The 16,836-nt window shown below is 54.2% G+C and overlaps 1 long non-coding RNA gene across 1 annotated transcript in view; it reads left to right on the forward strand.

Annotated features, from left to right (window-relative positions):
• Positions 1-16,393, forward strand: part of LOC642846 (DEAD/H (Asp-Glu-Ala-Asp/His) box polypeptide 11-like) — a 30,432-nt gene extending 14,039 nt beyond the window's left edge. Inside the window, exons 6-22 of the long non-coding RNA NR_024374.1 lie at positions 86-131; positions 726-833; positions 1,085-1,167; positions 1,565-1,773; positions 3,399-3,551; positions 4,533-4,579; positions 4,928-5,007; positions 6,280-6,324; positions 6,445-6,512; positions 8,024-8,062; positions 8,320-8,428; positions 8,542-8,673; positions 9,507-9,619; positions 12,178-12,325; positions 12,644-12,746; positions 13,446-13,595; positions 15,410-16,393. This is a non-coding gene — a long non-coding RNA (DEAD/H (Asp-Glu-Ala-Asp/His) box polypeptide 11-like). The remainder of the gene's footprint in view (positions 1-85; positions 132-725; positions 834-1,084; positions 1,168-1,564; positions 1,774-3,398; positions 3,552-4,532; positions 4,580-4,927; positions 5,008-6,279; positions 6,325-6,444; positions 6,513-8,023; positions 8,063-8,319; positions 8,429-8,541; positions 8,674-9,506; positions 9,620-12,177; positions 12,326-12,643; positions 12,747-13,445; positions 13,596-15,409) is intronic.
• The last annotated feature ends 443 nt before the right edge of the window (positions 16,394-16,836 follow it).

Here is a 16,836-nt window from a genome sequence, read left to right on the forward strand (position 1 = left end):
CAGCACCAGCGCTCAGCAGATGCTCAGTGCGTTTTGCTGAGTTTGCTGAGGGAAGACTGTTTTCTATTCTCTCTCACACACACAGAGTGGATGAGGATGAGGATGACCTGGAGGAAGAACACATAACTAAGGTAACACGAGTGTCCTCAGCTGGTGCTGTGCTGGGGGCTGTGGGCTGGGCTGTGTACCCTTGGGGAAGAGGCTGGAGTCACTCGGCTACTTCTCACCCTCCTCTCCACAAAGGAGGAGCTTCCAGCACTTGGACTCTGTTGCTTCTTGCACGCAACCCTGGTCCTGAGTTGCTCCCTTGGTCAGCTGCAGTGGACCCTGGAGTCCTCTCCTGGGGTCAGGGCCTGGGGAGTCCTCTCCTGGGGAGACCTTTCCTGGGAGCAGGGCCATGCTTGCCACCCCAGGGCATAGAGGAACAGCTGTTCTGGGCTGAAGTCTGGGTGTTTTCTGTCCCTGCTGGGTGGTGCTGGATATGACTCGTGGAAGGAGCTGCCTGTGGGGCATTCCCTTGAACTTCTGGAGCTGTGGGTGACTTGGGAATCCCTGGGTCCCTCGATAGATGCCTGACATGGGACATTGCTGTCCTGCCTCGGCTTTGTGCATTGGGAGCCACTCCCTTTCCCTCAGCCTCTCAGGCCCTGGCGTGCCTTGATGTTAGAGAATGCTGTGGGATGTTTTGGTTCCCTCTTTGAAGTGCCTTTCTTTCTCTCTGCTAGATTTATCACTGTAGTCGGACACACTCCCAGCTGGCCCAGTTTGTGCATGAGGTGAAGAAGAGCCCCTTTGGCAAGGATGTTCGGCTGGTCTCCCTCGGCTCCCGGCAGGTAAACAGTAGCCAGTATTTCCACCAGGGGCCATCCTGCTCCTTTCCCCACAACTTTGTCCTGCTCGTCCAGGCCTGGGAGACGCTGGGTCTGTGACAGGCTGAACCGTGTGAGGAGCAGCCCCCTCCCTGGCCTGGCCGGCCCATCACTGGAAGGCAAAGGAGAGGTGGCGGGGGCAGGTCCACGTGTGTTGGTAGGATGTCATTTAGCTGGCACCATCTCTTTGCCTCTTTCTTTCTCCTTTGTTGCAGAACCTTTGTGTAAATGAAGACGTGAGAAGCCTAGGTTCTGTGCAGCTTATCAACGACCGCTGCGTGGACATGCAGAGAAGCAGGCACGGTAGCCACCGGGACCATGGTGTAGCCGCAGGTGGTCTGGAGAGAGTGAGGCAGGGGTGGCAGTGACTGAAGACCATTCAGTGTCTTTCATAGAAAGAATGGCAGAGGAGACCCCAGTTCCTTCCTGAGTCCCCTCTCCTTGGGAAAAAGTGTTCCTACTCTCTGGGTGAGCGTCTGGTCCGAATCGTTGGCTTGGAGATGATTTTACGGGCTCTTTCTGGAGAACAAAAGTAAAACCTTAGTGTTCCGATGAGACACAGTAGGCAGTACTTGGGAGGGTCTTATAGACCCCACCCTGTGGAAGTGGGTCTCAACATTACACAACCCCCTCTCGGGCCCGTGGACAGTTGCTGTCTTCTCTGTTTTCTCTCTTTGTGCCTGTGCCACCCTCAGAGAAGAAGAAAGGAGCTGAGGAGGAGAAGCCAAAGAGGAGGAGGCAGGAGAAGCAGGCAGCCTGCCCCTTCTACAACCACGAGCAGATGGGCCTTCTCCGGGATGAGGCCCTGGCAGAGGTGAAGGACATGGAGCAGCTGCTGGCCCTTGGGAAGGAGGCCCGGGCCTGTCCCTATTACAGGAGCCGCCTTGCCATCCCTGCAGCCAAGGTGAGGGCCCTGCAGGGCCAGAAAGCCGCTCTTGGCTCTCACTGTGGTCTAGGCCATGAGGGGCGTCCTCATCACACTGTAGTTTGGGGGATGCCCCCCACCGTGGTCAGGTTGATGGCACCTTAACCCATTCTCTCCTGATGCGTGAGTTGGAGGAGGCGCGTGGGATCCCTTGGGGTCTCCAGGCAGCAGGGCCAGTTGGCATTACTGGGGATGGTATTTAGGAGCCAGGAAAGCCGGTGCATTCCTAGTGAAACCACAGGGAGAGGGGGGATGCCAGGAGCTGAGAAGAGTGTGCTGCATACATCTATTTACAAATGGCTTTCCAAGTGATGCTCCCAACTTCCATGCCTATGATGTGATGGAGGATGTCAGTGATAGAACCATTCAGTTTTCCAGTTTTTCCTTTTTGTAATATCAGTACTCTTAACTGGAAAGCTTTCCCTAACTTACACCTACCTGCAGCACGTGAGAATACTGTCTTCTCTGCCACAACTTCTCTTGATTTTTAAACAGAAGGAAGAACTGCTAATGTAGCAGATGAAAAGTAGTATCTCACTGTTACTTGGTGGGTGCAGTTTCACTATTTCCTTGCTACTTCTTTAACTTGAGTGACTTTGGAAACGGGATATCACTAGTGGAAAATTCTGTATAATCCAGAAAAAAATGTAAGGTTTTAAAAGATTCAGGGAACTAAGTAACCGTTTGCACAGCAGCTAAATGCTCACCAGCATACCTGCTGAGCTGTGTGGGCGCTGGCAGAGAAACTGAGGAAAGCTGCCAGGCCCCATGGTTTCCCAGGCCTTCCCTCCGGTCTGTTTGCCTTTAGAGCAAGATTAGTGCTATAGGCATTTATACACAAATACCATAATATGGCCCAAAATCTTTACGATTTTTGAATTTGTAAAGTACTTTGACCATATTTTGCTTTTATGTTAATAGTATTCCAGTGAAATTCCGTGCATGGGGACACTGGAGCCCAGAAAAGTTAAGTGACTCATATTTTCTCACCAAGCGTGGGTGATGGAGCCATTCAGTTTTCCGATATTTTATTTTTTATATGAGTATTCCTTTAACTGGAAACTTTCCTAACAACAAACACCTAAAGACCTGCAGAGTTGCTTTTATTTTTGTTACCCCAGCTCCACGCCTTAACCCTCACTTTGAAATAGGATGTATCAACCCTATTTTGCAGATGAGGAAAGCAAGGGTCAGAGAGGTTAGACAACTCTTCCAGAGTCACACAGCTGGGAAGTAGCAGCTCCAGGAGCAGAAGCTGGGGCCGCTTCCTGGTGCACCGATGGTCTTCAGGTGTTTTGTGGAAACTCGGGGGCCTCCGGGGCGACCTTGAGGACATGGACAAGGCTAAGCAGGGGTTCCCTTCACCCAGCCCTGCCCTTGGTTTACTCAGGAGTCAGACCAGCCCTAGTTTCCTGTGTTTCATGTATTGGCTTTTCATGTGAAACTCGAGGAGAGCTTGTCCGTTGTCAGAAGCTGTTTTTTGAACGTCTCTACACAGTCCAGGCAGGAAATAGAAGCACTCACATCAGGAGCTCAGTGTCAGGCAGGCAAGCCTCCTGCAGGGGAGCCCCGCCCTGCTCAGGTGGCCTCATCTCCCCTCCCAGCTGGTGGTGCTGCCCTATCAGATGCTGCTGCATGCGGCCACTCGGCAGGCCGCCGGCATCCGGCTGCAGGACCAGGTGGTGATCATCGACGAGGCGCACAACCTGATCGACACCATCACGGGCATGCACAGCGTGGAGGTCAGCGGCTCCCAGGTGCGTGGGCCTCCCCTCCCCAGGCCAGGGCCTGCCGTGAGGTAAAGGGACTTGGATGGTTCCTCCAGACACCCGGGCCAAGAATTCCTCCGGAGGTGGGGCTTGCTACAGGGTGCACGAGTCAAGGCGGTGACCTCATCGGAGGCTGACCATGGCTTTCCAGTGCATCCCAGAACTCTGGGGACCCCGCTATGACAGAGTGCCTCATTTCCCTGCACCTCACCTGCCCCCATGCTCCTGAGTCCCTCCAGCCCTGGATGCCAGCAGCCAGTTCTGCAAGCCAGGGAGATGGCATGTGTGAGGCAGAAGTCCCCTCAGGATTGGATTTTGTCATTACTGAAGTTGTCTGGAGGGGACTGAATTGAGGAATGCTCAAGATCAGTGCAGGCTCCTCCTGCTGCCCTATCATGCGCCATGCATGGCACCAGGTGTCTCTGGTCTTCACGCTGACTCTGCCATGGGGGTGGTGTTCCTGTTTTACATTGGAAACTTGGAGATTCAAAGATGGTCAAGCTCTGTCCTGAGGTCATGCAGCTCATGAGTGTGGAGCTGGGGTGTGCCCACTGGTTTCTGACTGTGAAACCCCCACGACATCCCACCAGCTCTACTGACCTGTGCCTGGGCTGAATTGAGGCTGGGATGTGATGGTGACCTTGAACCATCACTCTTTGTAGACTCCAGGTCTTTTCCCAACCCGGTGGAAACTAGCAGGCAGATTCCATACTTGAGGAATTCAGCCTCTTGCTTTTTCTCTGACCCACAGTGGACACTGGAGGAAACCTTCCCTTCCTTCCCTTTTCTCTTAGCTCCCACCAGCCTAAGGGCTGTGGAAACCAGTACCTTTTGTCTGCACCCAGCCCCCTCTCCTCCCTTTGGTGGCTTCCTGTGTGTCCAGGGCTAGCATCTTCTAGGTGAATCTAAGATGTCAGTACCTTAGCCCTCGGCTGCTTGCTCAGAGCCTGGTTTGTGTTCTTTCCCCAGCTCTGCCAGGCCCATTCCCAGCTGCTGCAGTACATGGAGCGATACGGGTGAGATGTGACTCTCTGAGGTAGTGGGACAGTCCCTTGGTGGCCCCCTGCATGGGCCTCTGAGAGGCAGCACTTTGGTTCCCACCTCTGGCCCGTGCTGTGGCGGGGTGGAGCTGCATGCCATTCATGTCCTAGGCACATGATGGTGTGTGCTGCACACAGACCTGGAAGGCTGGGGACTGACCGCTGGCTCTGAGGCCTGGGGCCGTGGCCAGCCTGCTCTCTGGGAAAGGATTTGTAGCTTGTGACCCAGTTTGAGAGGCACCGGGCAGCAAGGCTTCCACTGGGGTGGGCGGGGCGAGTCGCCATCAGGGCACCACCACTTAATGTCCGTTGGCTTCTTCTCAGGAAGCGTTTGAAGGCCAAGAACCTGATGTACCTGAAGCAGATCCTGTATTTGCTGGAGAAATTCGTGGCTGTGCTAGGGGGTGAGAGCCTCGCCCCCCGGCTAACCCCCGGCCTGCAAAACCCACCGGGCTGCTTTTTCCTTGGATGCCCATCAGGACGCCTCAGTTCTCTGTGTTTTTAAGAAGGGTCGGCCGGGTGTGGTGGCTCACACCTGTAATCCCAGCCCTTGGGAGGCCGAGGCAGGTGGTTCACCTGAGGTCAGGAGTTTTGAGACCAGCCTGGTCAACATGATGAAATCCCATCTCTACTAAAAATACAAAAAAATTAGCTGGGAGTGTTGCCGTGGCCTGTAGTCCCAGCTGCTCCAGAAGCTGAGACAAGAGAATTGCTTGCTCAAACCCGGGAGGCGGAGGTTGCAGTGAGCCGAGATTGTGCCACTGCAGTCCAGTCTGGGCGACAGAGTGAGAGTCAGTCTCAAAAAAAAAAAAAAGAACCAAAAAAAAAGAAGGGTCTTGGTCATTGATTTAGAAAATTCTTGTTCTTTGTAGCTTAGTTGAGTTGTCTGACTTGAGCTTTTTTTAGACCCATGGGTTCTTTGCCCATGTTCTGAGGACTTTTTATTTCAGGCGCTGCTCTGGGGGGATATTAAGGATACAGCATCACATGGACACACGGTGTTTCCGTGATAGGCATAGTTCTGTGGGTTGTTCGAAGCACTTGCATATGCGGTTTTGTGTGCCCTGTGAGAACGCAGTGCTGGTATTTGAATCCTTGTTGATAGACGCATAAACTAGAGCTCGGAGCAAGGGCTGCTCCCAGCACGGGAGCCTGGGATCTTCTGACTCCAGCTCCCACGCCTCTTTGCGTGACCCTGTCACGTCCCCTTCTTTTATGATGGGGCACCCCCTTGCTGGAAGGTGTCTGTGGAAGTGGAAGCTGCAGAAAGCCTGTGGGAGCTCCTGGCGGGAGCTGGTCTCGTGTTGCTGCTCTGAGCCGCCAGCTCTGCTTTGCCTCAGGCTCACCAGTGGCCTGGGCAGCTCCTCTGTGCTCCGGTGCCCTGCATACCTTGGTCTGGCTGCTGTGTCCCGGCCTCCTGGAGAAGGGGTGAAAAACATGAACTTACAGGGCTTTGGGTTCCACGTGCAAGCACGTGAGTCAGACGTGGGAGGCTCCTGGACCCACCTGCCCTCTAAGTGGGTCCGTTGCATGCTATAAACAGTGAAAAGCAAAACAAAGCCGTTCAAATACAGATGCTCTTCTTACTTGATGTGCAGTGTGGAGGGAGAGAAGATAGGGAAGGGTTGGGGGGCCTGAGAACCACCATTGTGACCTATTTCCATTCTCTTTTTTAGGGAACATTAAGCAAAATCCCAATACACAGAGTCTGTCACAGACAGGTAAGAGAGTTGCCCTCAGAGGGCCCAGAGCTGATCTGAGCCACTTCCGAGCTTAACCCTGGGACTGAAACCTGAGGCTTAGGGTGAAGCTCCCAAGGCCCTTCATGTGTTTGTTCTCAGGGACGGAGCTGAAGACCATCAACGACTTTCTCTTCCAGAGCCAGATCGACAACATCAACCTGTTCAAGGTAGAGGTTTCCACCTTGCCATGTTCCACATCCAGTTTCCTTCCTGTCACCACCTGTGGGTAGAGTACTATGTTAAGACTATAGAAGGAAGAAAAAGCAAAACAGACGTGTAATTACTTAACCCTTAACGCAACACGCCTGTGAGACAAAAGTCATCATCTTTTAGAGTGAAGGCCACAGGGATGAGGGATGGGTGAGAAAGGGACCTTTCTTGGTGCCCCATAGAACAGATAGAGACTCCAGGTCCTTGCTGTCTCACCCCATCTTCTGGCACAGTCTCCCTCAGGCTTATGGACAGGAATAGGACGTTGATTTGTTCTGTGCAACCCCTGTCACGTCTTCGCACTTGGGCCTTGGGTGTGGTTGCAGCCTCAGACCTCTGCTCGCTCCAGGTCTGTGTACCCAGCGCTCCCCAGATGAAACACGGCCACTGCCGCCTGAACCCCCAGCTCGTAACTCAAATCAGCAACAGTGACTGCCCCTGGGTACAGGGTTCTGCCTCTGTTCTAGGCGGCATGCCACGTGCTGTGCTCTGAGCTAGGATATCCTTTTGCCCCGGCAAGGAAAGCAAACAGGCCCATGGAGGTGACTTCAGGAGGGTGGCGAGCACAGGCTTCCCACAAGTGAGCCAATAGCAAGTGGCAGAGACAGCGTCCAAACCTGGCTGCACTGACTTGGGGCCCCACATTCTTCCCATCGTGCCTGCCTTTTTTTTCTTAAAACCAGCTTTTCCCCTGAATTACACATTTGGGTCACTGTCACTGCCACCATCCCTGCCAGACAGGCTGGATCCACGTCATCCTTGATGCCTTTCTCCCCTTGTCTCCCACATGCCTGTGACAGCCGCCAGGCCTGACAGCCTCAGACAGTCCTGCCGTCCCCGCGCTTCTCCCACAGCTGGGACATGGGTGCAGGCACTCCTTCTCTCGCCTTCCCTTTGCCCTCCTTGCTTTCCTTCTCCCTTCTTCCCATGGGTCTCGGGTCTCATCACCCACCATTGAGGGAATCCTCATCGAAGGACGTCGCTCTTTTTAGAAACCGGTTTAAAGCCTCCAAACTCCTCATCTCTGCATCCCAAGCTAAGATGTGGCACCAAACCACACACATTGGATGCACCGACTGAGTGGCACTGCCCCAGCCCCTGAGCAGGTCCCAGCCATCATCTCCTCTGTGGCTTTGCTCATAGAAGTTCCTTTGTTTTAACTCTCTGTCACCTGGAAGGAAAGCCAAGGGGACCTAGATTTTACTGGGCACTCTTAGACTTGGGAGAGACATTTGGAAAGAGGGTCTCCCCCCTGAGGAGGACACTGCGTTGTGGGCAGGGGCAGTAGAGGAGGGGGTGGCCTCGGAGAGGGGATGACAAGGTTGGTGGCAAGGAGGCTCCAGGTGCCTCAGAAGGTAGCACTGCGTTGTGCTGCCTGGGTGGTAGAAGTGGTGTTTTTTGTTTTGTGTTTAAGATTACAGCTTGCTCAGTTTGCACACATGCCTACAGCTGGGCTTGGTTTTTGCAGGTGCAGCGATACTGTGAGAAGAGCATGATCAGCAGAAAGGTAACTGCTCCCATCTTGTGGTCCTGAACAAGACCCAGCTGTGCCCCAACCCCCTGCCGTTGCCATGCTTTCCTCCCCTGCCCTCAGGGAACTCCAGAGTCCCCTTCGTCTCCACCCTCCTTGGTGCAGTGGGCCTTGCTGGGGTGGTGGGATGTGCGCTTCAGGTGTCTTGAGCCTGGCAGAGCCTCCGATCCACCCAGCCTCTCTCTCATGGCTGTTCCTCGTTCCTCTCCACTGCTCTCTCTCATCCCACCCAGCTCTTTGGCTTCACTGAACGGTACGGAGCAGTGTTCTCATCCCGGGAGCAGCCCAAACTGGCTGGGTTTCAGCAATTCCTGCAGAGCCTGCAGCCCAGGACGACTGAAGGTGAGGCAGGAGGGTGAGCAGGCAGAGCCGGCTGCAGGCATGGGCAAGGACTTCTGTTCCTCATGTGTGGACCTGACTAGAGGGAGGCCTCCTCCCCATTCTGCTCTGTGCAGCTCTTGCAGCCCCTGCAGACGAGAGTCAGGCCAGCGTCCCGCAACCAGCTTCCCCACTAATGCACATCGAAGGCTTCCTGGCAGCTCTCACTACGGCCAACCAGGACGGCAGGGTCATCCTGAGCCGCCAAGGTAATCAGGTGGTTCTTGGCCAGGTTCAGTTCCCAGGAAGGAGCCAAGCTGAGCCCGGGAGCCGCAGCATGAAAGGATTCTTTCCTTCCATCCTGGGAACTTCCTGGGTTAGGAGGAAGCAGTGCAGTGGGCACTGGCCTGCTGTGACCTGGGCAAGCAGTGGAGGTGGACGGGAGGAGATCGAGGGGCTGGGATGGAGGTCCTCTAGGGCAGGGGTCCTAGGGAAACTTGTATTGTGGGGTAGGTGGGCTTTGGTTTGGGTCATGATTTTGTCATCTATGAGCCTTGTGATTTGGACTATTTTCTTTCTCAACTTCAGTTTCCTCATATGAAAATGGAGAGGATAGGCCGGGCGCGGTGGCTCACGCCTGTAATCCCAGCACTTTGGGAGGCTGAGGGGGGCGGATCGTGAGGTCAGGAGATCGAGAACCATCCTGGCTAACACAGTGAAACCCCGTCTCTACTAAAAATACAAAAAATTAGCAGGGTGTGGTGGTGGGTGCCTGTAGTCCCAGCTACTCGGGAGGCTGAGGCAGGAAAATTGCTTGAACCCAGGAGGCGGAGGTTGCAGGGAGCCGAGATTGAGCCACTGCACTCCAGCCTGGGCAACAGATCGAGACTCCTCTCAAAAAAAAAAAAAAGAGAGAGATGGAGAGGACAGTATGGTCCACCTCTGTGGGCTGGTTGTCCTAGAGATTAAATGGTGTTTAATTTAAAGAGAAAGCACTAGCACTTGTGCCTCAGACCTGGACTCACCTGGGGGACCCCCTTTGCTGGGACGATAGAAGTGTCTGTTGGGCTTGCACTCACCTCCCACCGATCTGTTTTTCCAGGCAGCCTCAGTGAGAGCACCCTGAAGTTTTTGCTCCTGAATCCAGCTGTGCACTTTGCCCAAGTGGTGAAGGAATGCCGGGCAGTGGTCATTGCGGGGGGGACCATGCAGCCGGTAAGGACACCTTTCCCAGCCCCTCGTGCCCCAGGTGTTGGGATGAGATGGGGACTTGGGAGAGATGCATTATCAGTCCTGTTCTCTCCTGGGGCCCCAAGCCAGAAAGGGTCAGCTCGAGCAGGCCCAGTGGTGTCCACTGGGTGACACTGCTATTCTCTCACTGCTGTGCCTTTTAGGCTGCAGGAGCAGTGCAGACTCCTCTGCTGCTCCATTCTGTAGCCCCAGGATCACACTTCTCCCAGAGAAAGCTGTTCTGTGGTTTCAAACTCAAGGAAAAAAATCATGATTCCACTTTTAAAAGGTTCATTTTGATGTATATGAATATAATAGTCTTTGTAGGCATAATTTTTACTTATGTGCATAGCTATTTTAAAAACAAAAGTGCGGCTCCCTCCATGTGCTGTCACTGGAACTTGCTCTTTTCACTCAGCAGCCAGAGGGTCATAAACCCTGTCTCCTTGTCAGCAAGCATGCACGTATTTCAGTATCCCAGCTGTGCTGGATTCCAGTTACCCAGATATACAGCATTTCATGTACCTCCTTCTCTTTTGTTAGGTGTGCAAGCTATTTGTAGTTTTCTGTTTTGAGCATGACTGTGATGAATATAACCGCATTTCCGCACAGTGGTGACTCCTACCTAGCAAAGGGCCTCCTGGACAAAAAGCTGCTGGGAATCCTGAAGCAGTGCTTCCCAGCCCCAGCTGCCTTAGCTTTTGATTTTTATATTTTTGTATGGATAGATTCATAGTTTTATTCATTCGGCATATTAAAAGTTGTTTACAGTCATTATTGTTTCTGACGTTCACATGGTGAGAGCCCCTTCCTGCTAGCTCAGGTCCTCCCCGTGGCCCGGTCAGTCTCGCCTCCAGCACAGCAGAATGTCATGGGATCACCATGGGTGTCCTTGCCGCACACTGGATTGATTCATTTCTCCAAGCTGCTCTGGTTTCTTGTAATGGGGAATGACATTTAGAAGTCAAGCTGTGGGTGCTAGGGTGTTTGTCGTGCTCCTGGGGCATTTTGGTAGACAGATCTAGGAAATGTTTTCAGAGTGAATCCATACTGGTATTTCTTTCTTTCTTTCTTTTTTTTTTTTTTTTTGAGACACAGTCTCGCTCTGTCTCCCAGGCTGGAGCGCAGTGACCCGATCACGGCTCTCTGCAACCTCTGCCTCCGGGGTTCAAGCGATTCTCATGCCTCAACCTCCTGAGTAGCTGTGATTACAGGCATGTGCCACCACACCCAGCTAATTTTTGTATTTTAGTAGAGATAGGGTTTTACCATGTTGGCCAGGCTGGTCTTGAATTCAGTTGATCCGCCAGCCTTGGCATCCCAAAGAGCTGGGATTACAGGCATGAGCCACCACGCCTGGCCCATATTGGTGTTTCTAAGTAAAAATCAAAGGATTTGTTTACTTGACCTTTTATTGTACCTCTTTTTCTCTTAAGCCTGAACATGTGTGCTACATTAACATACTTATCTGCTCTATCCTATAATATACTTAAAAGTTTTGAAATCATAGTACCAATATTACTTCTAACAATAGATCTGATTGAAATTGCCTTTCCTCTTTGCCCTTAGAGTGTAACCCACTAAGGATGCCTGGTCACTAGGCTCTAAAGTCACGTGGAACCAGGCTTCTCTCCGTGTGCTTCTGTTGTCAGTTTCATAGATAGCTAGGCTGTTTTTGTTTCATTTTCTTTTCAATTTTAGAATTTGCTTTCTTCTTTTCTGACTTGTAGTTTTTAAATATGTAAATATTTGTATGGCTCAAAAGTCAAAGCAATATAAAAAGATCTATTCAGGAAAGCCTCACTCTCATCCCTTTCCAGCCCATTCCCCACCCCCATAGGGAATCCGTTTTACTAGCTTATCCTTTCAGTCTTTCTTTTTCCCCTAAATAAGCAAAAACGTGCCTTCTTTTTTCCCTTTCCTGTTTTATTTACACGGAAGGCATCTTAGTCAGTTGTCTGGCCATCGCTCCTCTAGTGGGCTGCGTGGTTCTCTGTTGGACAGATGTAGGAAGCTTATCCAACCAGTACCCTCTGGATAGGCAGGCGCATGATTACAGGGAAAGGTCCGGGGGCACATGCTGTTTGGTATTTGTGGGCTGTATCTTCTCACTGGACTCCTAAATATGGGATTCCTGGGTTAAAAAGTATAAATATGTTTAATTTGTTAACTACTGTGAAATTTCATGAGAATTGTACCATTCTGTATCCCACCAGTACTGTCTAGGAATGCCTGTTTCTCCAGAGTGGTTACTTTTGGATTTTTGCCAGTCTAGCAGGTGAAAGCCTGGAGATTGTTATTCAGTAGTTTGGGCTGGGGCCTGGCCACGTGTATTTTTGAAAATTTTCGCTGGTGATTTTGCTGCATGGCCAGGGTTGATAATGACTGTGCCAGATTTGCTGGATTTCCTTTGCTATTCCTGCACATAGTTTAAACGAGACTGCCAGCACTGGGTATCAGTCACCATTTTTCTTTTTGTTAGTTTGCCGTCAGCCTTTTCTTTGACCTCTTCTTTCAGTTTGTGTGTACTTGCTGTCTCTTAGGCCAGACTTCTCGCTTCCTTTCTGCTGGGCCTCTGAGGGGTCATGGGGCCATGACGCCGTGGCCTTGGTCTACAGGTGTCTGACTTCCGGCAGCAGCTGCTGGCCTGTGCTGGGGTGGAAGCTGAGCGCGTGGTGGAGTTTTCCTGTGGTGAGAAGCTGTGCCCAGGGTGGGGCAGGCTAGAGGTCAGGTTCTGGCCCCCGTTTTCTGTGGGTAATACCTCATACCGTGACCAGGCACAGAGGCGGAGGAGACCCCGGGATGGGAGCCTCACCCTTCGTGCGCTCGCCCAGGCTCTCCTGCTTTGCTCCCTGCTGCCTGCTGCCCAGTGTGACTGGCGATGGTGGGTGGGTGAGCGCTGTCAGTCGCTGTTCCTGTGCTGGATGATGGGGCAGGTAAATGCCCTCTCTGCAGTGTCTTACAGCACACCTGCATCTCCAGTTTTCGGCCCCTCCCTGATCTTACCAGGTCACGTGATCCCTCCAGACAACATCTGCCCCTTGTCATCTGCAGCGGGATCTCCAACCAGCCGCTGGAATTCACCTTCCAGAAAAGAGACCTGCCTCAGATGGTCAGTCCCAGCCAGCTCGCTGCACCACAGCCTGGCCTCAGGCAGCAAAGGGTTTTCTGGGGCAGGGACGCTCTGGCCCACCCTGAGTGTTTTCAGGTGTTGGGGAAATTGCACAGGGACACCCACTTAGAGCCACACAGAATGAGCGGCGTCGATCTAGATGCTTATGGAGGAAGGTCTGAGCTTCCCCGCCTCTCACACCTTAGGCTGCGAAATATGTATTCATAAAACCTCCAGGCATCTTCTGAGGACGCCTCACGCAGGAGAAAGCTGCTAGTTCCCTTTGGCTCTCTTGCCCTTTGGTTATATCTGCCCCTGCTGGGGGCAGGGATGTGGGGCTTGGGGGCATCTCCTGTGGTGTGCCTGGGGTGTGCAGCCCCTGATTGTCATTGTGGTGCCCATCAGGACCCTGGACAGAAGAAGGGAGGACTCAGTGCCAGGGCAATAGGGAGGCCCCCCAGGGACGCTAGTGCTGTGACATGTGTCAGAAAGGCGCAGTCAGCAGCAGCGGCTGGGTGTGTTTGGTGGGAGGTGGCACCTACCACCCCGTGGTTCCCACCCAGGGGAGCCAAGTCCTCTTCCTTGGCTGTAGTCCTGCCAAGGGTCTCTCCTCAGTTTTGAGTCTCAAGGTGAAGACGCGGTTTGTGGGTGGCTGAGGGGTTGCTCCATGGGGGCTCCCTCCCTCCCTTCCTTCCTTAGATGGACGAGGTGGGTCGCATCCTCTGTAACCTGTGCGGTGTGGTTTCTGGAGGGGTGGTCTGTTTCTTCTCCTCCTACGAGTACCTGCGCCAGGTCCATGCCCACTGGGAGAAGGGTGGCCTGCTGGGCCGTCTGGCTGCCAGGAAGAAGGTGAGTGGCCTGTCGGCAGCCTTGCCACTTGTGAGGACAGTGCCACTGAGTCCTCCTGGGAGCTCTTGTGCTCATCGGGTCGGGACAGGCTTCTGGCTCCTCATCCCCACTGCTCCCAGTCCCTGACTACAGAGGATTTCCCCAAAGTCCCTGGCTGTGAGGTTCTCCAGTCCGCTGGCCAGAAAACACAAGGCCACGAGCAGACCCGAGACCTGGCACCCTAAACCTGTCTCTGGGAAATGTCCTCTGTCTTTCTCAGATATTCCAGGAACCTAAGAGCGCACACCAGGTGGAGCAGGTGCTGCTGGCGTATTCCAGGTGCATCCAGGTGCGGGCGTCATGCTGAGCTTGGGTCTGAGACCATGTGGGGGTGGCAGCTGGAAACGTGGGTGTCATCCAAGTTTTGGCTCAGCAACTCAGCGTCTGGGTTTCTCCTACAGGCCTGTGGCCAGGAGAGAGGCCAGGTGACAGAGGCCCTGCTCCTCTCTGTGGTTGGAGGAAAGATGAGTGAAGGGATCAACTTCTCTGACAACCTAGGCCGGTAAGTAGTGGTTCTGCTCATCTCCTGGGTCGTGATACATGGCCGGCCCTCACTCCCAGCAGCTGGGCCCCTGCCTGCTGTCTGCTGCCATTAGAGCCCACAGCTGGGCTGCGACTGCTCAGACCAGCCAGCTGGAGGGAGGGGCTCAGCAGCTCTGGGTTTGGCCCTGAGAGAGTAGTTGGATTTTAGGCTGGCCATTGCTGTATCAGGACCCAATCAATTGGCCTAGACGGGATCTCTCAGCCTTACAAGCCCTCTCCAGGTGGTAGGTACAGAGTGGAGAGAGGCTGAGTTTTGATCACAGTCGGAGAGGGCTGACGGAAGGGGTAGAACGGAGCAGCTGGTGACATGGGTGATGACCCGGGAGTTCCTGACGTCCACCCACTGGGCTCTTGTCTCCCCCCCACGTGTGTGGTGATGGTGGGCATGCCCTTCCCCAACATCAGGTCTGCAGAGCTGCAGGAGAAGATGGCCTACTTGGATCAAACCCTCGTGAGTGACCCCAGTGTCACAGAGGGTGACAGAGTAGGCAGTGGGTGGGAGTGGCATCACCCCCAGGGCTGATACAGCCAGGCCTTCCCCACTGCGCTGGTGTCTCCTGCCCCCTCCGGAAGCTTGGATGCCCCTCCACACCCTCTTGATCTTCCCTGTGATGTCACCTGGACCCCTGCTGCTGGCATTGGCCACAAAGCCTCCTGGTCTGGCTCCAAAGCCTGGCAGGGTCTTTTCCCCGGGGGAGCTGCAGGCAGGGAACAGTCCTGATGGGTCATCCCCTTCACTCCCAGCCCAGAGCCCCCGGCCAGGCACCCCCAGGGAAGGCTCTGGTGGAGAACCTGTGCATGAAGGCCGTCAACCAGTCCATAGGTGAGCCTGGCTGCCTCCAGCTGGGTGGACAGATGGGGGCTGGAGAAGGGGAGAACAGGAAAGAGGGGTTGCCTGCCCTGTTTCCTATATAAGTCTGAGGAAGGGGAGGGGGTCGCCATGGGAATGTGCTGTAGGGGAGGCAGGTGTTGCTCGGAGCCCCAGCCTCTGTTCCTATGCAGGCAGGGCCATCAGGCACCAGAAGGATTTTGCCAGCATAGTGCTCCTGGACCAGCGATACGCCCGGCCCCCTGTCCTGGCCAAGCTGCCGGCCTGGATCCGAGCCAGTGTGGAGGTCAAAGCTACCTTTGGCCCCGCCATTGCTGCTGTGCAGAAGGTCAGTCCTACCTTTTTCTTTCTGAGAGCCTCCCAACCCCGAGATCACATTTCTCACTGCCTTCTGTCTGCCCAGTTTCACCGGGAGAAGTCGGCCTCTTCCTGATGGGCAACCACACCACCGCCCGGCGCCGTGCCCTTCCTTTGTCCTGCCCTCTGGAGACAGTGTTTGTCGTGGGCGTGGTCTGCAGGGATCCTGTTACAAAGGTGAAACCCAGGAGGAGAGTGTGGAGTCCAGAGCGCTGCCGGGACCCAGGCACAGGCGTTAGCTCCCGTAGGAGAAAATGCGGGAATCCTGAATGAACAGTGGGTCCTGGCTGTCCTTGGGGCGTTCCAGGGCAGCTCCCCTCCTGGAATAGAATCTTTCTTTCCATCCTGCATGGCTGAGAGCCAGGCTTCCTGCTTGGAGTCCGCAGGAGGCTGTGGCAGCAGTGGCATCCACTGTGGCATCTCCGTCCTGCCCACCTTAAGAGGCGAGATGGAGCAGGTCCATCTGCCTCTGCCCTTTCTAGCCAAGGTTATAGCTGCCCTGGACTGCTCACTCTCTGGTCTCAATTTAAAATGATCCCGTGGCCACAGGGCTCCTGCCCAGGGGCTTGTCACCTTCCCCTCCTCCTTCCTGAGTCACTCCTTCAGTAGAAGGCCCTGCTCTCTATCCTGCCCCACAGCCCTGCCTGGATTTGTATCCTTGGCTTCGTGCCAGTTCCTCCAAGTCTATGGCACCTCCCTCCCTCTCAACCACTTGAGCAAACTCCAAGACACCTTCTACCCCGACACCAGCAATTATGCCAAGGGCCATTAGGCTCTCAACATGACTATAGAGACCCCGTATCATCATGGAGACCTTTGTTCCTGTGGGAAAATAACCCTCCCACCTGCAACAGCTGCCCCTGCTGACTGCGCCTGTCTTCTCCCTCTGACCCCAGAGAAAGGGGCCGTGGTCAGCTGGGATCTTCTGCCACCATCAGGGACAAACCGGGGGCAGGAGGAAAGTCACTGATGCCCAGCTGTTTGCATCCTGCACAGCTACAGGTCCTTAATTAAAAGTGTACTGTTGGTTTCTGCTGAGTTTTTTATTGATATGTGCTGCTGTTTTCTCTGGAAGCCTCTTTAGGGAATCGAGGAGCGCACTGGTGCAGGGGCTGGGTGGAGCCATCCTCCGATGGAGCACAGGCAGATGGAAGCCCCCACCCCAGCTGCGTGGCCTGAAGCCAGCCTCCCGCTCCCCGAAGGTGGTCTCCACACAGAACTGGGACAGTTCCATCCCTGCCCCTTCCTCCAGGGCAGCAGGGCTGAGGATCCCATTCTGGCTGTGTCCACGTCCGGGCCATGGCTGGAGTCTGGGTTTAGGGGAGGAAGGCATGGCGGCGCCCGCTAGGATTTCCAGTTGTCCTCTTCTTCCTCTGCCTGTGGCTGCTGGGGGTTAGCAGACACGGTTTGTTGTCTGACATACGGGCTCTCTCCTCCCGGCCCCTCACCAGCCCCAGAGGTGAAAAGGCTGGA

The sequence above is a fragment of the Homo sapiens genome, chromosome 12 (assembly GCF_000001405.40).
Source record: "Homo sapiens chromosome 12, GRCh38.p14 Primary Assembly".
Classification (NCBI taxonomy): Eukaryota; Metazoa; Chordata; class Mammalia; order Primates; family Hominidae; genus Homo; species Homo sapiens.